General features: G+C 35.9%; 1 protein-coding gene across 20 annotated transcripts in view; it reads left to right on the plus strand.

Annotated features, from left to right (window-relative positions):
• Window positions 1-22,798, plus strand: part of GALNT13 (polypeptide N-acetylgalactosaminyltransferase 13) — a 1,388,282-nt gene that overhangs the window by 1,071,506 nt on the left and 293,978 nt on the right. For 17 of the 20 annotated variants that reach the window (XR_007069045.1, NM_001422882.1, NM_001422881.1 and 14 more), the window contains one exon: window positions 539-707. The exons of 1 other annotated variant lie outside the window; for it this stretch is intronic. Coding sequence is in view for 16 of the 19 variants with exons in the window: in NM_001422882.1 (NP_001409811.1) it covers window positions 539-707 (169 nt within the window). In the remaining 3 variants the exon portion in view is untranslated. Of the gene's footprint in view, window positions 1-538; window positions 708-22,798 lie in introns of those variants that run through there. 2 more of the 20 variants (XM_011510538.3, XM_047443121.1) reach the window with 1 other exon arrangement.

Here is a 22,798-nt window from a genome sequence, read left to right on the forward strand (position 1 = left end):
ATAGAGCACATAGTATCCAAATTTCAACTTGACATTTGAAGTTATGTGTCACCACTATGAAGCTTCTTTTGACACAATTCAAAATGTTTAGTTTTGTTTGCCTTTATAAAGATGTAATGGCAGTAGATATGTGAAATATCAAAACATTTAATTGGATGTGAAAATAAATTAATCTTAGTATTCTTTAAAGTTCTTTTATTTTGCATTATTTTGTCTGCCTAGTGTTCAACTTCAGTTTTCTCTAATAGTGTATGAAATATATGACAGAAGTTTTAAGATTGGGTATTTTGTACATTTAGAATTATTGTCTTAATGTTTAGTCATCATATAATTTATCTAAACTTGGAAGATAATACGCAGAATTGATGTTTTTCTTTAGCAGAGTGTGTGGTTTATAATCAGTAAAATCTTGATCATTATATTATAAAACCTGTATGTAAATAATATGCTTCAGAATCTAATCAGACACACAAGTTTATTTATTCAGTTCATTATCTGTGTGTTTGTATGTATGTCTGTATCTCTGTATGTCTTACAGCTGTTATTTCAAGAAACCAAGAAGGGCCAGGAGAAATGGGAAAAGCTGTGTTGATTCCTAAAGATGACCAGGAGAAAATGAAAGAGCTGTTTAAAATCAATCAGTTTAACCTTATGGCCAGTGATTTGATTGCCCTTAATAGAAGTCTGCCAGATGTAAGATTAGAAGGGTAAGTTTGCATTTGTTATATAATCTTTTATATTCATAATCACCATATTTCAGAATCTCAGAACTTGAGCTAACTCAGATTATATCAATTCTAGCAATGTGTGGTTCTGAGTACCTATCACATAGCAGGAATTTATTGTGCATGCATATGCTGAAAAAGGCGAACTATTTTCTTCCCTGGCAAAGAAAAATACGTTACTTGCAAAGATGCTGCAAAATACTCAGGCCAAACAGGTTTTTCTATGTGAGATGTTTTTTGTTGTTGTCATTTTGTTGTGCTTTCTTTATCGTACCAGATTCAGAGCAAATATGCTCTTTAGTAGATTACAGTCGTATATTGCTTAACACTGCAGAAATGTTCTGGAAAATATGTCATTAGGCAATTTTGTCATTGTGTAAGCATCATAGGTGTACTTACACAAACCTATATGGTATAGACTACTACATTTCTAGGTTATATAATGTAGCCTATTGTTTCTAGGCTGTAACTCTGTACAGCATTTTACTGTACTGAACACTAGAGATAAATGTAACATTATGTTAAGTATTTTTGTATCTAAACATAGAAAAGGTATAGTAAAAACACGGTGTAACAGATAAAAATTTGTATACTTGTATAGGTCATGTAACATGAATGGAGCTTGCAGGACTGAAAGTTGCTCTGGGTGAGTCAGTGAGTGTGTAGTGAATGTGAAGGCTTAGGGCATTACTGTACGCTACTTGTAGACTTTATAAACACTATACACTTAGGTTATACTAAATTTCTTTTTAAAATTTCTTTCTTCAGTAATGAATTAACCTTACATTACTGTGATATTTTTACTTCATAAAGTCTTGAATTTTTTTCACTTTTAAACTGTTTAGTATTAATACTTACCTTAAAACACAAGCATACTATACAGCTGTAAAAAATATTTTCTTTCTTTATATCCTTATTCTATTAGTTTTTTTCCATTTTTAATGTGATTTTCAATTTTTTCTTTTAAAAACGAAGACACAAACATACACATTAGCCTAGGTCTATTCGGGGTCAGGATCATCAAACATCACTAGGCAATAGGAATCTTTCTGATTCATTATAATCTTATGAGACTCTCATCATATATGTGATCTGTCATTGGGTAATGCATGGCTGTATTTGCCTTACTGCATAAAAAGGTCCATATACTTTGCTTATAAAAAGTATACCTGCATTGCTTTTCCAGCACAAAAATAGCTCATTGTCTATATGACTCTTTCACCCTATAAAAGTGGTTTATTATGGTTTCCAGCAATTTATACTGCTGTTTATAATTAGAATGCTTAATTATCAGCTATGGAAGAAATATGCACTTGGAAATAATATTGCACGAAAAATGATGTTGAAAAATTCAACTTTTATGTGATTAACTGTAAGCTATGCTCTAGATAGTTGAACATATTTTAAACAGATGTAATAAAATGAAAGTATTTAGTGGCAGAATTGTAATTCTAATATATGGTCCTCGTAAAACAAACTCTTGGCATTAATAAAAGATGTGTCTTGAGATTTTAGAAAATCTCCAGGTTTACAAATATACTGCAGGACACACTTCCATGTAAATAGAAATTGTTCTTTTAAGCACTTAGTGATTTTTCTCTACATGCAATAGAACATAATTAATGCAAATAAAATTTGCCACCTCTAGTGGGCTACATTACACTACTGTGTCATGATATTAGCATCATATTTACTAACTCTTATTTTTTTCTTTCTGAATTACTTCATATAATATGAAAACCTTGGCTGGGCTTGGTGGCTCATGCCTGTAATCCTAGCACTTTAGGAGGCCAAGGCAGGCGGATCACCTTAGGTCAGGAGTTTGAGAGCAGCCTGACCAATATGGTAAAACCCCATCTCCACTAAAAATACAAAATTAGCCAGGCGTGGTGTTGCATGCCTGTAATCCCAGCTACTCAGGAGGCTGAGGCAGGAGAATTGCTTGAACCTGAGAGGCAGAAGTTGGAGTGAGCCGAGATTTTGCCATTGCACTCCAGCCTGGGCAACAAGAGCGAAACTCTGTCTCAAAAAAAAAAAAAAAAAAAAAAAAGAAAGGAAAAGAAAAAAGAAAACCCTGTTGAGATTCCAGGGCTTGTAATTGTCAGAGGTTTATTTGGTATCTTAGCAACTGCTTTGTGACAACCATTGTATACTTTTGAAATGTCTCTCTCAACAAAATCACAAGTAATTACATATTGTGGACATTTTTGGCCCCTGGGGAATAGTTCAACATTTAATATTAAATTTGTGCATTGCAAATTATTATGTAAAAATAATTTTACATGTAGTCCTGTGCATATGTGTGTGTGTGTGTGTATATATATATATATATTTGTTTGTATATAGATACATTTAAAAGTACATACAATAAGCATATACAAAAAATATATACAATAAACAGTCTTCGAAGCAATTTTGAGCATTTTAGATGCTAAGTTTATAATGTTTAAACATTGCATTTATTACTTTGTTTTATATGCTGTAGTATGCTGTAGTGCAATGGTCCCCAACCTTTTGGCACTGGGGACCAGTTTTGTGGAAGACAATTTTTTTACACATTTGGAGGTGGTGGATTGGGGGTTGGGGGTGATTTCAAGACGAAACTGTTCTAACTCAGTTGATCAGGCATTAGATTCTCATAAGGAGCACACAGCCTAGATCCTTCGCATGCGCAGTTCACAATAGGGTTTGTGCTCTTATGAAAATCTAATGCAGTGGCTGATCTGACAGGACACTGAGTTCAGGTGATAATGCTTGCTCTCAGGCAGCTCACCTCCTGCTGTGTGGCTGGGTTCCTATAACAGGCCAGGACCAGTACTGGTTTTCAGCCCCAGGAACCTCTGCTGTAGTGTGATAAAATGAGTGGCTATGATACTTATATATTCCAGAAAACTAGGTAAACACTATTTCAAGTTTTTAAAAAATCTCGACTTTCAACTGTCAGAATACAAATAAATCAGAACCATGAATTAAAAAAAAAATAAGTCTTCACTGAGCTAATGTTTAAAATATTCATAGCCAGTGATTTTTTTTTTTTCTTTTAAGAATCTCTGCCAGGCACGGTGGCTCACACCTGTAATCCCAGCACTTTGGGTGGGAGGCTGAGGCGGGCAGATCACCTGAAGTCACGGGTTTGAGACCAACCTGGCCAACATGGTGAAACCCCGTCTCTACTACAAATACAAAAATTAGCCAGGTGTGGTGGCCCATGCCTGTAATCCCAGCTACTCAGGAGGCTGAGGCAGGAGAATCACTTGAACCCAGGAGGCAGAGGTTGCAGTGAGCCGTGATTGTGCCACTGCACTCCAGCCTGGGTGACAGAGTAAGACTCTGTCTCAAAAAAAAAAAAAAAAAAAAAAAAAAGAATCTCTTAGCTCTAGTTTGTTGTCTTACTCTAAGAAAAAAAGGATCCCTTGGCATACTAAGTTTATGAGTAAGTCTTAAACTGTGGAGCAATCCAACATTTTAAATGAATAATTCAAGTTGCTTAGCATGTAAAGTACATAAAATCCTGTATATACTGTGGTTATTATTGCTTGAATTTTCATGTTTTACAAATAGTCTCTGAAATAATATTAATGAAAAAACTTTTCATTTTATTTTTATATAAAACTACAGTATATGTTATAAGTAAGAAAACAGTAATACCATCCAAAATTCCTAGACAAGTCACAGTGTATGAGGTTTACCAGGGACATTTGCAAGTCATCTTGAATGACTCAATTGTAGAACTGCCTGGGAACAACTAATGTTGAAAAACTTACCATGAGTCACATATCCAAACTGTTATTTAAAAGATGTAGAAATGTTAATACTCATTTGATCTAGAAAATATTTTTATAATTTGATTATATGCCAGTTACAGTTCAGTTTTTGGATAATTATATCTTAAAAAGATATAGATACATTAAGCTAGCACAAGTGATGACTGATGTAAAGATGTAAAAAGAATAGGATTCTAAAATAATTAATTTACGAAGAAGCTGAATTTATTTTAGTGGAAAACTTGAGTTGATACTTAGAAAGTGTCTGAGTCATCCAAAATGTGAATTCATTCAAATATCTAATCATATTTTACTGCGTTATACCTTTAAACTATTTTGGCTAAATTCAGAAAATTGTCCAAAAAGTTTAATGTTATGTTTGACGCTAATATCAATTTACAAATATTGGAAAACGTATTCGGGGAATAAATCTAAGCATATATGCTATGTTTACACAGAGAACAGACTAGGTAAAAATAGTTTTTCTTGGAGGCAGTTGTGAATAACCATCAGGACAAATTGAAGTTCTGTTCTGTAATATCTATCCCTAGGAATGTTTAAATATTTATAAAAATTTACTTAAAGTATTTAATATTTTAATACACGCAACACATTTGTATGTAATCCTAATTTTTTTGATAGAAGATGCTAGTTACAAAGAAATTATGTTACTTTTATATTTTAAGTACAATTAAGGGCAGATGCCTTATGAAATGTTTTACCTTCTTGAAGGCCCTTCATTCCTGGGATATTTATGTAGTTCTCTCTCTCTCTCTCTCTCTCTCTATCTATCTATCTATCTATCTATCTATCTATATATATATATATATATACACACACTAAAAATTTACATATAAATTTATATATAAATTTTATTTATATGTATAAATAAAATTTTAGACAGCTGTAACCAGCCCTCTCTCTCCTTTGCCCATTCCCCCACAAATAAAATTTTTAAAGTAAATATCTTAATAGCCTATCTGATTCAGAATGTTGAGAAAAATGACTATTAACTAATGGCTCAGCATTAGAGATTTGTTAGCATGTTTCTCATCAATTATGGGGCTAAGATTTGTAAATTTGTATATTTTGGATTTCAGAAGAGCAGGGTTTAAATGCTTCTGTTGTCAGAAAGTAAATAAATAGATGCCATTTTGTTTGGCTTTTAACCTAAAGTCCTTTAGCATTTACTTGAATTCAGTCATTTAATAACACTTCAAGGGCTGGTATTGAGTGTTTTTGAAGGTTATAATGCAGCTAGCATTTAAATATTTTTCATCAGGAAAAAATTGAGAAAATAGGAAATTTATTTTAGCTTTTTATATCCTAGGCCAAATAACTGCTTCTTACATATGCACACTTTCAAGTCAATAAAGAGGAAAAGACTCTAGCAGCCTTACATTATTAGTGGAAGAGGAGCTGTAGCATACAAATTTTGAATAAGTTGCTCTCAAAGGACAAAGAATTTATTTACTACATAAAGTAGGAATAAGACATAGTATATATTTTTTCTGTGCTCAATCTCGTGAGTACGTGCTCATTTATAAGGTTTGCCTTTCCCATGAATTAAAATATGATAAATGTAGCATTGATTGCACAAAGGAGAAATAGAAAATGAGAATATTAATTGGATTTCCAATCTCTGTTCCACATCTTTTCTTTTTAATTTGAGAATTATTGCAACATTTATATGCTGGTAAAAATCTTCCCTGTGAAGATACTAATAATTTCTTTAATAATTTGATTTATGTAATGTGCTCATGTGTAGAATTAATTTCACTATCCAAATTAAAAGTGGTATGTTAGAATGCCTGTATGTTTACATATGCACAATGTATGTGTGTGTGTGTATATATATATATATACACACACACACACGCATACACATACACACACATATATACATACACACTTGAGGAATGTGGATATAAGTATTATTATCATTTGGGGGATAATAACACTGTTACACTGTAAGTTTCCTTTCAAATAAGAAAGTAGAGTAACACATGTCTAGGCATGTTCTCAGAGACACATTTAAGTACGTTGTATGCAGAAAACATGCCACATAACCTTTATTTACACTTGAACTACCCCTCCATAGTTTCATTATGTAATTTAATTTTCTGACACTACTACCTTCAACTTCTAAAAAAAAGTGGTATTATATACATAACATAAAATTGACAATTTTAACTATTTTAAAGCACATAGCTGAGTAATGTTAAGTATAAAGGACATCAGAATATGCTACCCTAAAATATGCGAATTTAGCATAAAGATCCTTTTGAGCTGAAGGCAATTAAGGAAAAGCAGGCACAGGAAACCTCTCTACTCTTCCCCATCTACCTAAAAGTAGGGCATACATTTGACTTATAAAAGCATCCCCCACTCTCATACCAGGAGGAGAAGAGCAACCTTTATTAGCAGAAATAGAAATGCTGTCAGGATAAGCCAGCATAAACAAATCTCACTAAATAACCTTTATTATCCATTAGTTTCCCTCCTGCATTACAGAGTTTCCCACCTTAGAAGCCCCAAACCCTTTTCCTTTGTCTTGCCACTTCTCCACAATTTATCACCCTTTTTTAAAACGTCATATAAACCCACTGAGTGTCACTACTTGTTTGGGTCTTCACTTCTTTTCTATGAAGGTCTCCGTTCATGTGAAAATCAAATGATTATAATCAAATAAAATGTGTATGCCTTTTTTCCGGTTAATCTGTTTTTTGTTAGTTTAATTCACAAGCCCCAGTTATAGAACCTAAGAATGTAGAGGAAAGGTTTTTCTCTTCCCTGTAAGTGAATTTACATTGTTGTGCAATGAATCTTTAGCATTATTTTCATTTTGTAAAACTGAAACTCTATAGCCGTTAAACAGGAACTCCACATTTCTCCAGCCCCTACCAACCACCATTCTATGTTCTGACTTTCTAAAGTTGGTATTTTCAGCATTTATCGGGACCTAATTGTGTACCAATGAAAACTAAAATATACGGTTTTACATTAGAGAATGGAATGACTATATACATATATATGTATTTGAATGGAATATATATATTTGAATGGAATATATATATATATTTGAATGGAATTTTATATATATATATATATATATCTCCTAGTATGTGGCAGTGTGAATTTAGAAGTGCCATTGTATCAAGGCATGATGAAGGACAGTTTTACAGGAAGGTGTATTTGGAACCAAGCTTTGTAAGATGAATTTGTGTAGAATCAGGCTGACACAGAAAGGAGACAGCAGAAAGGAGAGTGTAGACAAGCAAGCCAGTTCTGGTTAGAGGAGGGCCAATGAAACTCTTTGCTAGGAATGTGCATCATAGGTAAACAGGTATGGAGCCTGGCTACTATTTTATTTATACACTTAATAATTCATATATTCAAGTTTACCAAATACCTATTTGTTTGTTTGTTTTTGCAAATTCTAATTGAGAAAGCAGAAAATCTAATTTTCACTTTCTAAATCTACCTGGTAATCATATTTTTACTTATGTTTTTCCTACTTGAGTTATGTAGGCCTGAAAGGGTTTTTAAAATATTATCCACTATCATGGTTGTTAATGTGTTCTTATATTTCTTTCTTTTTTTTTTTGCTGGGATTTTGCTTTTATTTTTTATTTTTATTATTATTATACTTTAAGTTTTAGGGTACATGTACACAATGTGCAGGTTAGTTACATATGTATACATGTGCCATGCTGGTGTGCTGCACCCATTAATTCGTCATTTAACGTTAGGTATATCTCCTAATGCTATCCCTCCACCCTCCACCTTCCCCCCTCCCCACAACAGTCCCCAGAGTGTGATGTTCCCCTTTCTGTGTCCATGTGTTCTCATTGTTCAGTTCCCACCTATGAGTGAGAATATGCAGTGTTTGGTTTTTTGTTCTTGTGATAGTTTACTGAGAATGATGATTTCCAATTTCATCCATGTCCCTACAAAGGACATGAACTCATCATTTTTTATGGCTGCATAGTATTCCATGGTGTATATGTGCCACATTTTCTTAATCCAGTCTATCATTGTTGGACATTTGGGTTGGTTCCAAGTCTTTGCTATTGTGAATAGTGCCGCAATAAACATACATGTGCACGTGTCTTTATAGCAGCATGATTTATAGTCCTTTGGGTATATAACCAGTAATGGGATGGCTGAGTCAAATGGTATTTCTAGTTCTAGATCCCTGAGGAATCACCACACTGACTTCCACAATGGTTGAACTAGTTTACAGTCCCACCAACAGTGTAAAAATGTTCCTATTTCTCCACATCCTCTCCAGCACCTGTTGTTTCCTGACTTTTTAATGATTGCCATTCTAACTGGTGTGAGATGGTATCTCATTGTGGTTTTGATTTGCATTTCTCTGATAGCCAGTGATGGTGAGCATTTTTTCATGTGTCTTTTGGCTGCATAAATGTCTTCTTTTGAGAAGTGTCTGTTCATGTCCTTCGCCCAGTTTTTGATGGGGTTGTTTTGTTTTTTTCTTGTAAATTTGTTTGAGTTCATTGTAGATTGTGGATATTAGCCCTTTGTCAGATGAGTAGGTTGTGAAAATTTTCTCCCATTTTGTAGGTTGCCTGTTCACTCTGATGGTAGTTTCTTTTGCTGTGCAGAAGCTCTTGAGTTTAATTAGATACCATTTGTCAGTTTTGGCTTTTGTTGCCATTGCTTTTGGTGTTTTAGACATGAAGTCCCTGCCCATGCCTATGTGCTGAATGGTAATGCCTAGGTTTTCTTCTAGGGTTTTTATGGTTTTAGGTCTAAAGTTTAAGTCTTTAATCCATCTTGCATTAATTTTTGTATAAGGTGTAAGGAAGGGATCCAGTTTCAGCTTTCTACATATGGCTAGCCAGTTTTCCCAGCACCATTTATTAAATAGGGAATCCTTTCCCCATTGCTTATTTTTCTCAGGTTTATCAAAGATCAGATAGTTGTAGATATGCGGCGTTATTTCTGAGGGCTCTGTTCTATTCCATTGATCTATATCTCTGTTTTGATACCAGTACCATGCTGTTTTCGTTACAGTAGCCTTGTAGTATAGTTTGAAGTCAGGTAGCGTGATGCCTCCAGCTTTGTTCTTTTGGCTTAGGATTGACTTGGTGGTGCGGGCTCTTTTTTGCTTCCATATGAACTTTAAGTAGTTTTTTCCAATTCTGTGAAGAAAGTCATTGGTAGCTTGATGGGGATGGCATTGAATCTATAAATTACCTTGGGCAGTATGGCCATTTTCATGGTATTGATTCTTCCTACCCATGAGCATGGAATGTTCTTCCATTTCTTTGTATCCTCTTTTATTTCCTTGAGCAGTGGTTTATGGTTCTCCTTGAAGAGGTCCTTCACGTCCCTTGTAAGTTGGATTCCTAGGTATTTTATTCTGTTTGAAGCAATTGTGAATGGGAGTTCACTCATGATTTGGCTCTCTGTTTGTCTGTTATTGGTGTATAAGAATGCTCATGATTTTTGTACATTGATTTTGTATCCTGAGACTTTGCTGAAGTTGCTTATCAGCTTAAGGAGATTTTGGGCTGAAACAATAGAGTTTTCTGGATATACAGTCATGTCATCTGCAAACAGGGACAATTTGACTTCCTCTTTTCCTAATTGAATACCCTTTATTTCCTTCTCCTGCCTGATTTCCCTGGCCAGAACGTCCAACACTATGTTGAATAGGAGTGGTGAGAGAGGGCATCCCTGTCTTGTGCCCGTTTTCAAAGGGAATGCTTCCAGTTTTTGCCCATTCAGTATGATATTCGCTGTGGGTTTGTCATAGATAGCTCTTATTATTTTGAGATACGTCCCATCAATACCTAATTTATTGAGAGTTAATAGCATGAAGAGTTGTTGAATTTTGTCAAAGGCCTTTTCGGCATCTATTGAGATAATCATGTGGTTTTTGTCTTTGGTTCTGTTTATATACTGGATTACATTTATTGATTTGTGTATATTGAACCAGCCTTGCATCCCAGGGATGAAGCCCACTTGATCATGGTGGATAAGCTTTTTGATGTGCTGCTGGATTCGGTTTGCCAGTATTTTATTGAGGATTTTTGCTTCAATGTTCATCAAGGATATTGGTCTAAAATTCTCTTTTTTGGTTGTGTCTCTGCCCGGCTTTGGTTATCAGGATGATGCTGGCCTCATAAAATGAGTTAGGGAGGATTCCCTCTTTGTCTGTTGATTGGAATAGTTTCAGAAGGAATGGTACCAGTTCCTCCTTGTACCTCTGGTAGAATTCGGCTGTGAATCCATCTGGTCCTGGACTCTTTTTGGTTGGTAAGCTATTGATTATTGCCACAATTTCAGAGCCTGTTATTGGTCTATTCAGAGATTCAACTTCTTCCCGGTTTAGTCTTGGGAGAGTGTTTGTGTCGAGGAATTTATCCATTTCTTCTAGATTTTCTAGTTTATTTGCATAGAGGTGTTTGTAGTATTCTCAGATGGTAGTTTGTTTTTCTGTGGGATCGGTGGTGATATCCGCTTTATCATTTTTTATTGCGTCTATTTGATTCTTCTCTCTTTTCTTCTTTATTAGTCTTGCTAGCGGTCTATCAATTTTGGTGATCCTTTCAAAAAACCAGCTCCTGGATTCATTAATTTTTTGAAGGGTTTTTTGTGTCTCTATTTCCTTCAGTTCCGCTCTGATTTTAGTTATTACTTGCCTTCTGTTAGCTTTTGAATGTGTTTGCCCTTGCTTTTCTAGTTCTTTTAATTGTGATGTTAGGGGGTCAATTTTGGATCTTTCCTGCTTTCTCTTATGGGCATTTAGTGCTATAAATTTCCCTCTACACAGTGCTTCGAATGCGTCCCAGAGATTCTGGTATGTTGTGTCTTTGTTCTTGTTGGTTTCAAAGAACATCTTTATTTCTGCCTTCATTTCTTTATGTATCCAGTAGTCATTCAGGAGCAGGTTGTTCAGTTTCCATGTAGTTGAGCAGTTTTGAGTGCGTTTTTTAATCCTCAGTTCTAATTAGATTGCACTGTGGTCTGAGAGACAGTTTGTTATAATTTCTGTTCTTTTACATTTGCTGAGGAGAGCTTTACTTCCAAGTATGTGGTCAATTTTGGAATAGGTGTGGTGCAGTGCTGAAAAAAATGTATATTCTGTTGATTTGGCGTGGAGAGTTCTGTAGATGTCTATTAGGTCCGCTTGGTGCAGAGCTGAGTTCAATTCCTGGGTATCCTTGTTAACTTTCTGTCTCGTTGATCTGTCTAATGTTGACAGTGGGGTGTTAAAGTCTCCCACTATTATTGTGTGGGAGTCTAAGTCTCTTCGTAAGTCACTCAGGACTTGCTTTATGAAACTGGGTGCTCCTGTATTGGGTGCATATATATTTAGGATAGTTAGCTCTTCTTGTTGAATTGAACCCTTTACCATTATGTAATGTCCTTCTTTGTCTCTTTTGATCTTTGTTGGTTTAAAGTCTGTTTTATCAGGGACTAGGATTGCAATCCCTGCCTTTTTTTGTTTTCCATTTGCTTGGTAGATCTTCCTCCATCCTTTTATTTTGAGCCTATGTGTGTGTCTGCATGTGAGATGGGTTTCCTGAATACAGCACACTGATGGGTCTTGACTCTTTATCCAATTTGCCAGTCTGTGTCTTTTAATTGGAGCATTTAGCCCATTTACATTTAAGGCTAATATTGTTATGTGTGAATTTGATCCTGTCATTTTGATGTTAGCTGGTTATTTTGCTCGTTAGTTGATGCAGTTTCTTCCTAGCCTCAATGGTCTTTACAATTTGGCATGTTTTTGCAGTGGCTGGTACCGGTTGTTCCTTTCCATGTTCAGTGCCTCCTTCAGGAGCTCTTTTAGGGCAGGCCTGGTGGTGACAAAATCTCTCAGCATTTGCTTGTCTGTAAAGTATTTTATTTGTCCTTCACTTCTGAAGCTTAGTTTGGCTGGATATGAAATTCTGGGTTGAAAATTCTTTTCTTTAAGAATGTTGAATATTGGCCCCCACTCTCTTCTGGCTTGTAGAGTTTCTGCCGAGAGATCCGCTGTTAGTCTGATGGGCTTCCCTTTGTGGGTAACCCGACCTTTCTCTCTGGCTGCCCTTAACATTTTTTCCTTCATTTCAGCTTTGGTGAATCTGACAATTATGTGTCTTGGAGTAGCTCTTCTTGAGGAGTATCTTTGTGGCGTTCTCTGTATTTCCTGAATCCAAATGTTGGCCTGCCTTGCTAGATTGGGGAAGTTCTCCTGGATAATATCCTGCAGAGTGTTTTCCAACTTGGTTCCATTCACCCCGTCACTTTCAGGTACACCAATCAAACGTAGGTTTGGTCTTTTCACATAGTCCCATATTTCTTGGAGGCTTTGTTCATTTCTTTTTATTCTTTTTTCTCTAAACTTCCCCTCTCGCTTCATTTCATTCATTTCATCTTCCATCACTGATACTCTTTCTTCCAGTTGATCGCATCGGCTCCTGACACTTCTGCATTCTTCATGTAGTTCTGGAGCCTTGGCTTTCAGCTCCATCAGCTCATTTAAGCACTTCTCTGTATTGGTTATTCTAGTTCTACATTTGTCTAAATTTTTTTCAAAGTTTTCAACTTCTTTGCCTTTGGTTTGAATTTCCTCCTGTAGGTTGGAGTAGTTTGATCGTCTGAAGCCTTCTTCTCTCAACTCATCAAAGTCATTCTCCGTCCAGCTTTGTTCCATTGCTGGTGAGGAGCTGCGTTCCTTTGGAGGAGGAGAGGCGCTCTGCTTTTTAGAGTTTCCAGTTTTTCTGCTCTGTTTTTTCCCCATCTTTGTGGTTTTATCTACTTCTGGTCTTTGATGATGGTGACGTACAGATGGGTTTTTGGTGTGGATGTCCTTTCTGTTTGTTAGTTTTCCTTCTAACAGATAGGACCCTTAGCTGCAGGTCTGTTGGAGTTTGCTAGAGGTCCACTCCAGACCCTCTTTGCCTGGGTAACAGCAGCGATGGCTGCAGAACAGTGGATTTTCATGAACCGCGAATGCTGCTGTCTGATCATTCCTCTGGAAGTGTCTCAGAGGAGTACCTGGCCATGTGAGGTGTCAGTCTGCCCCTACTGGGGGGTGCCTCCCAGTTAGGCTGCTCGGGGGTCAGGGGTCAGGGACCCACTTGAGGAGGCAGTCTGCCCATTCTCAGATCTCTAGCTGCATGCTGAGAGAGCCACTGCTCTCTTCAAAGCTGTCAGACAGGGACATTTAAGTCTGCAGAGTTTACTGGTGTCTTTTTGTTTGTCTGTGCCCAGCCCCCAGAGGTGGAGCCTACAGAGGCAGGCAGGCCTCCTTGAGCTGTGGTGGGCTCCACCCATTTCGAGCTTCCTGGCTGCTTTGTTTACCTAAGCAAGCCTGGGCAATGGCGGGCGCCCCTCTCCCAGCCTGGCTGCCACTTTGCAGTTTGATCTCAGACTGCTGTGCTAGCAATCAGCGAGACTCCATGGGCATAGAACCCTCCGAGCCAGGTGCAGGATATAATCTCCTGGTGTGCCGTTTTTTAAGCCCATTGGAAAAGCGCAGTATTAGGGCGGGAGTGACCCGATTTTCCAGGTGCCATCTGTCACCCCTTTCTTTGACTAGGAAAGGGAACTCCCTGACCCCTTGCGCTTCCCGAGTGAGGCAATGCCTTGCCCTGCTTCGGCTCACGCAGGATGCGCTGCACCCACTGTCCTGCGTCCATTGTCTGGCACTCCCTAGTGAGATGAACCCGGTACCTCAGATGGAAATGCAGAAATCACCCATCTTCTGTGTTGCTCACGCTGGGAGCTGTAGACCAGAGCTGTTCCTATTCGGCCATCTTGGCTGCTTCAGTGTGTTCTTATATTTCTAATATTTTGTTTTGTTCCCTATATTTTTGTTCCATGTGACTTAAGGCAGAAATACTCAATTATTTAAACCTCAGCAAAAATTAGAGTTCACAGCAATTAAATCTGATAGTTTTTTCCAAAAAAATAAGAAAATTTAATAAAGAAAAAGTAATTTTTAAAATGCAGAAGGTTTGGATAACCAAGGAATGGAAAATGATGATACAGTTCAGACAGAAGGTATGTGAGGCCTGTGAGAGGAGAAAACAACTCAATTAGAAAGTTGTTAACTATCCATCCAAGCTCATTGGCCTGCAGAGGATGATGAAGAATCTTAAAAACAATTTTATTTAGACATGTGATAATAGTCAACAAGGAGATTTTAGAACAAAAACATGATGTGATGGAAATGATATTTAGGAAGCGTTATTCTTGCAGTATTATATAAAAGGTATTATAGATAAGAGAAGCCTGAATTTAATAAGATTCCCTATTGACTATTATAGTCACATAGATCTGATTGGATAAGGAACTTGTCCAGGACAATGGCCTAAGAAACATAAAGCAATATGTAGTAATTAATTAAAATGAAGAGAAAGGAAAAACACCAAACTTAAGATAGCTTCAGGAGGGATGGCATGCGGTTGAATTTTCAACTTTATTTGTATGTGTAAGTATTTGTGTATGTGCATTTATAGGAAAGACAGAAAGGAACTGTAAGTAAAAATTATCCTAAGTATATTTTCAACTGATTTTCCAGAATAGGTGACTTACTAGATATAAGGGAAGTCAAAATATGACTTTAATGTTTCAAATTGGGTGACTAGGAGATTTGTGGTTTTGCTGATTGTTTATGTTTGTGTGTGTGTGTGTGTGTGTGTGTGTGTGTGTATAAACATACATATACAAAGAGAAACACATAAATGCCACTTTTAATATGGATAGTAGAATTAATTTTGCACATAAGAACATTAGATAAATCAAAATATTATGGAAACTATTATTGTTATCTTCAGAGGCAAGATTTTTTACCAGCTTATGAAAGCTATAGTAATTCTCAACTTGAAAATAAAAGATGTGTACCAGAGATCAGAAATTCAATTAATATTCTCACTTCTATTTCATCTTTATGAAATCAATGCTGCCTTTATCTGTATATTATTAAAATAATTGTGCAAAATATAATTTTTAAAAACAGCCATTTGAAAGTCAGTCTTTGTGGTTAAAATGTGTATTTTTTTATTCGTCTCATGGAAGAAATCTAATTTAAAAAGCAAAGATTTGTTTTAGTAAACATTTGCAGATTGATTCAATTTAAGAAAGCAGATAGTTTTGTTATTGCTAGAAAAATCCTATGTGGAGGAATATTTGACTTCTGTATTAAATTACTTCTCACTATTTTTTGCCCCAGATGTTTTCTGTGCACATACCAGTTTCTTAAGGGAAGGGTAAATTGTTCTAATGCCAGCTTACAATAGTATTTTGCTGAGGGAAAATGTGATTTTATAGTTAAATAGCTTAACTCATGATAGTAAGACATAGTTTTGTTGACATGAGAGATGTTAGCATCTGTCTAAAAATTCTCATTGTATATTATAATTAATATTCTCATCAGCTTGCAAAGTCTCCCTGTAGAAGCCAGTATACTTTCTGTATGGTAATTGCTGTTTAAATTAGAAAATTTATATTTGGACTTTGAATTTTAATATTTAATGTTGCTATGTAATTTTGTTCATTAAGAATATTGAAAACAAGGCCCAAAATAAGTTGCATTTTGTTACATTCCAAGTCCAACTTGAAATAAATGGAGCATATTAATGGTTATACTTTTAGGATAAAACTATATATGGACAAATATATTTTCTACATATATTTATGTATTGCATAATACATATATATTCGACGTATATTTATGTATTGCATTTATAGTGTCTTATTTTATTTTTTCCCTAACATAAAGCATTCTTTCTATTATTTTTTATGTCTTTTATTTGTGAGTTATACTGTAGATACAGATAGAGACATTTTCACTAAAATGTCATAGGAGACTTTCTGGTTATATTTGACCAGATAGTTAATTTTCTAAGATAGTGTTCTATCTTCAAATAGAAATGGAAAGATCAAATAGAATGTGATTGTTTTATCATCATACTATATAAAATGGCGTTGAATTTCACCATATAAATTCTTAAGTAAAATTCACATTTTATATTCATCCAGTGTCTCATTTCTAAGCTATATTTTATAAGAAATTTAAAAGCAAGTGTAGCACATAGTTCCTATCCTTGATAAGCTTACGTAGCATAGTGATTAGGAAGATATATTTTCCCCCATGACACAGTTTAAACACATGAATTAATAAATTATGTGATAATAGTAAATGTAGCTAAATATCAATATTTATTGAATTTTTAGTATGTATCAGCTATATATTAAGTAGTTGAACTGAATTATGACCTGGAATTTTCAATCAAAGCCCAGTGAAGTATATCATATGCTTTAATGTATTTGTTTATAGATTAGGAAACATACTTAGAAAGGTTAAGGAACTTCCTCAGGGTCATGCAGCTGACATTTGAAGTAAGGCTGTCTAATTCTGAGTATTTGCTCTCAACCACTACAGAACACCAAAGAATATAAAAGGGGAAAAGACAAGATAGAGAGTTACATTACTAGGAACTTCATGGAAAAGATGAGGCATGGGTTGGCCCTTGAATAAAGTCTGGAACTTATATAGATATAAGGGAGAACACAAAGGTTCCAAATGGAAAGACAAAAGTCCTTTATTATTCCATCTCCTCATGCACAGAATAGAATGATTAAATAGTGTGTTGAAGAGACTGATCTAATATATTAATGAGTTTATTTGGGAGACGGTTCATACAGTCATGCTGACTTGTCTTAAGTTAAATACTTAAATCACTACTCTGAGGCAGGCTTCAATGCTGTCCATCAGTCATACGATATTTCCCTTGTCTATCCTGTTTTCCACTTCGTAAATTATTATTTTATAAATTCATCACTCCCCTCCCTCACACCTATAATACTTCCTCTCAACCCTCATTCTCATTATCTTACCTTCTGTTTCACTGAGAAAAATAGATGCAAAGAAAACTCCCCCTAGTCTCACCATGGCATCTACCCATCTACCCATTTACTTGAATTTGTAGCCCTTTACTCTGCTTTCTCCACTGTTACTATGAATACATCGTCCATGTTTCCAGTTACAACCAGCCCATCCTCTAGGTGTCCTTTCCTCTTACCTCTTAACTGCTTAAGCACAAGTGCACTGTTCCAACAATTCTACCCACTTTTTTTAAGAGATGGGGTCTCACTATGTCGCCCAGGCTGGATTTAAACTCCTGGGCTCAAGCAATCCTCCTACCTCAGCCTCCTAAATAACTGGGACTACAGAATCCTGCTTACTTCTTTAATCAGTTTTCTCTCTTCGGTTATTCTTACCAGAATGCAAAGATGCTGTTTATCCTCCCTTAAAAACAAATGTATAAACAAAATACTTCTCTAGCGAATGCTTATCGTGGATTTGTTCATTTTTCTTTTCTTATTCCAAAAAGTTCTTGAAAGAGTTGGCTGTCACTCTCTTGAGCCATCTCCGTACCACCATTTTGTTTTGAATTCCCTGCAATTGACTTTTATCCCCACAATACAGCAAAATTGCTATTGCCGAGGTCACTAATGATTGCTATGGTGCTATATTTAACAGTCAATTTTCAGTTCTCATATTGACTTGCCAGCATAATTTGACATGGTTGATTATGATCTCCTTTTTGAAATAAATTTTTCACTTGGCTTTTAAGTCACTACACTGGAATATAATTTTCTCCTACTTTTCTGGTGATTCCTTCCCTTCATTATTTGCTGATACCTTTTCACCCTAACCCCAAGCGTAGATATGTCCTAAGGGTAAGGCCTAAGGGTAATGAGCTGGCTGATTTTCTGTGGCAGTCATTCCCGTGGTAATTTCATGTAGTGTGTCAATGTTCAATATCATTTAATCTGCAGCCCAGACTTCTCCCCTGATATCGAGAATTGAACATCTCATGGTATTCTGGATATCTTCCCTTGACTATCCAACACTCATCTAAATCTTAAGCACCAGATAGTCCCAAACTCAGCACCAGATAGTCCCCACAAAGCCTCGTATTTTCAGGAAGTTAATCCTCTTAGAAAACAGAAACTCCATTCTTTCATTTGCTCAGGCCAAACCAGGAAGTCTCATTGCACCATCTCTTTCTCTTACTATCAACATCTGACTCATCATCTCATTAAAAATATTAACTCTTATCATCATCTTCCCTGCTACTATTAATATTTTAGTCTAAGCTGCTTATATTTTTACCTGAATCATTGTAGCAATCTACTAAGTGTTTTTGTTTGTTTTGGTTTTGTTTTTATTTGTTGTTGTTGTTATGTTTAATTTTCTTTAGCACCCTTCCATCTCTGATCAACATAATAGTCACAGTGTGCCTATTAAAATATAAAGTCCTGTTAAATTGTAAATCAGTTTTGTGCTTATTTCTCTCACTGCAAGGTACAGGTGAACCATACCAAGAACAATTCTACTTTAGGACCTTTTTACTTCCTATTCTCTCTGCCTGGAGGTTTCTCCTGAATATCCACATGGTTTTGCTCCCTTACCTTCAATCTCTTTAATTATGCCTGAGGTTGCAATTTTTTTGAATTTGAAAAATCAGACCTTGGCAATGACCTTGAGCAGTAGGATATAAATAACTCCCACATGCTGAGCATTCCAATAATGGAACAGTAGTCATAAATGGGTTAACCCATTTATCATCTCTCTAAATTCTTCTTTGGCCACATTATATAAAATTACTCCAACCCGTGACACTTTCTACTCCCTTATTCTGGTATATTTTTCTGCTTTGTACTACTGACTACCTAATATAATGAATGTTGTTTTACTTACTTCTTTTCTTTATTATGAATAAGGAAATAAAACATATTTCTTTTCTCACTAAACATAAGTTCATTTAATGCAGTGGTCTTTTTTATTATTTATTTTATTTATTTATTTATTCATTTATTTATTTATTTCTGAGACAGCCTCACTCTGTTGCCCAGGCTGGAATGCAATGGCACTATCTTGGCTCACAGCAACCTCCTCCTCCTAGGTTTAAGAAATTCTCCTGCCTCAGCATCCCAAGTAGCTGGGATTACAGGCACATGCCACCATGCCAGGCTAATTTTTGTATTTTTAGTAGAGATGAGGTTTCACCATGTTGGCCAGGCTGGTCTCGAACTCCTGACCTCAAGTGATCCACCCACCTCAGCCTCCTAAAGTGCTGGGATTACAGGCATGAGACACCGTGCCTGGCCAATTGCAGAGGTCTTTCTAGGGGACTTTCATCTGTATGGTGGGCACTCAATAAATATTTGTTGGGTGAATTTATAAATTAATAAATGATGATATATATTCTGATTGCACACAGAAGATGTGACAGGCAGAAAAACTTGACTTTGATTTTGTAATCAAAAGTAAACTTAATAGGTTTTTAGAGACATACTAAGATGATGAAAGAGGTATAGATCTGTATTGGGATGAGTTAGTGTTTTTTTAATCTATTTTTTTCCCAGCAGGACAGTTTAGCCTGGAGCAGAATAAGAAAAAAAGAGAAATTGAAAATAGTCTAATGTTGGGGATTACTACAGTGTGCACTATAACAAATCAGAGTGTAATTGAGGTAGTCGGAATTTAATGATAGCTAAGAGAAGACTAACACATTATTACAATTAAAGTTGGAAGTCCTTTTTATAGCTTCCATTTATTGAGCAACTACCGAGTGCCCTAGATGCTAAGTCTTCTACCTTAAATCTTCCTCTTCAATCCTTAAATTATGCTTAGAAAGTAAATTGCATTATTCCCATTTTATAATTAAGGGAACTGAGGGAAGAAGAGATACTTTTATTTGGGCTGAACTATTGGAAATGCTTTCTCCTGTACTTTCCTCTAAATTTGTTGCCAGACTTCTCTTCCCAGCCTTTATTTGATTTATCTGAGGTTTTTGGCCATTTTCAGCTATTTTAAAAGTCTCATTTTTAGATACTATGGTGCAGCCTAGTTTTTGGCTAATACTGGTTGGCCTTCATACTCTCCAATGCGGCATGCATTTATATTTTCATTTTTTGTGAGAAGCATTTTGGAGACTACTTTACTGTAAAATTCCCAGCAGACCAATGACTCCCACCTGATTTCTTTCAGTCTCTCTCAGTTCCTGCTTCAGACAGAACACCACGCAAGAACTTGCTTCTGAGGCTCTCTTACCTTATCAGACAGCCCTATAGAGGAGAGACTTGAGTGCAATAATTCTTACCATATCCACTTCCCTGTAGAATTCATGACTCCTTACCACATCCAAATTTGCAAAGGTACTTCTTCAACCACTGACTTTTCCCTACTCAGCCCTTATAATCTTTTTCAAGATGATTCCTGCCTTACATGTCTCCAAACATTAAAAAAAACCAAGTCATGTTACTATCCCATCACATTCTGTCATAACCCAAGGCATTACTTCAGATTATAATTTTATGGCCATTAAACATTTTTGCAAGAGTGAGATGCTGATCTCTTAAAAGCAGTTACAACCTCTGAAAATACATGTTTTAAGATTCCCATCACTTGGCTTAAGAGATAAGAAGCACACTTCTTCCCTTCCCTAGAAGTAGAAAATACCATCATGTACCTAACGCCTTTAAATTCCCTTACTTCATTGAACTGTTCTTCAAATTTCTTATCTTCTCCCACATAAATTAGAGATGTATGATAGATTCACTGTTACAATATCAGTACTGCTATCTTTCCAATGGCTTCTTTTAGAATTTGGGGGTAACTTATCATTGGCTAGCCTCACTTTTCGTACTTGCTAAAATTCCAGGAAGGTGAATTTTTCTTATCTCTATGCTTACCACATTTATCTGTTACCGCACAGTATACAAGCCTCAAAGTCAGGAATTGAACAAATCTCTCTGACTCCAAAGTTTTACTCTTTCTTCTGCTTCCTACTTGAGTTTCTTGAGAGGGTAAAAGACACTGAAATATGCATGCGATAAGGAGGAAATGGTCAGGATACTAAGATTATAAATGTGAGCATAAATCTGTGAAATGCTGCAGTGTTCTTGGTTCAACAACTGTATTCCCATTGTCTAATAAATGCATTCTATATTATTAATGAATATTCTGCTAGAATGTATATTTCTTCATTTAAGAGATCTAAAAGTTCATGACAATTGCATCAAGATGATTGAAGCAGTCTGGAGTAGAAAAAAAAAATAAATGTGAGTCCCACACTGGTATCATTTTAGGGAGTTCAGAATTGGTATGCATTGTGGTAGGAGTAGGGACAGGAGAGAACAACAGGAATGATTACGTGGGTGGCTGAGACAGATGGTGTGGACTTCAAATAAAGAAACCCAGAAGGTGGTGGATAAATAATGATGAGAGTAGCATCGGAGAGTAAGGAAAAATTGGACAGTTCTATCTCAAGAACTCAAGGAATAAAGGATGAAATCAGACTTTTAAATGTTTACTACCTTTAATTATTTAAATGATGTGACAACAAATAACACTTGGAAAATCATTTTTCAATGTTTTTGTTATAACCTCTTATAAACAAGAGGATTAGTTTATAGGAAAAGACAAGGCTGAGCAACATAACAAAATCAAGTGTATTTTTTTTTTTTGTTTTCAGACGGTCTCGCTCTGTTGCCCAGGCTAGAGTACAGTGGAGCGATCTCAGCTCACTGCAAGCTCCACCTCCCGGGTTCACACCATTCTCCTGCCTCAGCCACCCGAGTAGCTGGGACTACAGGTGCCCGCCACCACACCCAGCTAATTTTTTTGTATTTTTAGTAGAGATGGGGTTTCACTGTGTTAGCCAGGATGGTCTTGATCTCCTGACCTTGTGATCCGCCCGTCTCGGCCTCCCAAAGTGGTGGGATTACAGGCTTGAGCCACCGTGCCAGGCACAAGTGTATTTTTTTCTTTTGAAAAATTATATTGTGATTTTACATTCTAACATAAATACTCTATATCAGAAATAAACAACCACTAGAATGAGAAACAGAATGTCATTACACTGGAATGTGGTAAAAAAGAAATTGTTGTTGATAAAAGAACCACCAACTTGTGTATGTGGGGAAATATCTGTTTAACTGTTAAAGTTTTGTGTTATGTAGAATTCTTAAATAACATAATAATTTTTTAAAAGTCACTGAGTGCCTTTCATCAACAGTTTTGATAATCTGAGAGCCTATTCACCTGTGAATGATTTTAACCAAAGTAAATTGCTTCAACTCTGTGCTTAATAGATGGTGTCAGAAGATTGTGGCCCAGAAAACAGGATGCTGAAAGACATGAGATGTACATGAGATACACATGTTTCAGTCATAGCCTGAGTATGGTAGATGTAGTCTAGGAGAACTTGGCTGGGAACACAACACCATGTCTTCATATTCATTTCGAATGAGATGGGGGTAGACAGA

The sequence above is a fragment of the Homo sapiens genome, chromosome 2 (assembly GCF_000001405.40).
Source record: "Homo sapiens chromosome 2, GRCh38.p14 Primary Assembly".
NCBI lineage: Eukaryota > Metazoa > Chordata > Mammalia > Primates > Hominidae > Homo > Homo sapiens.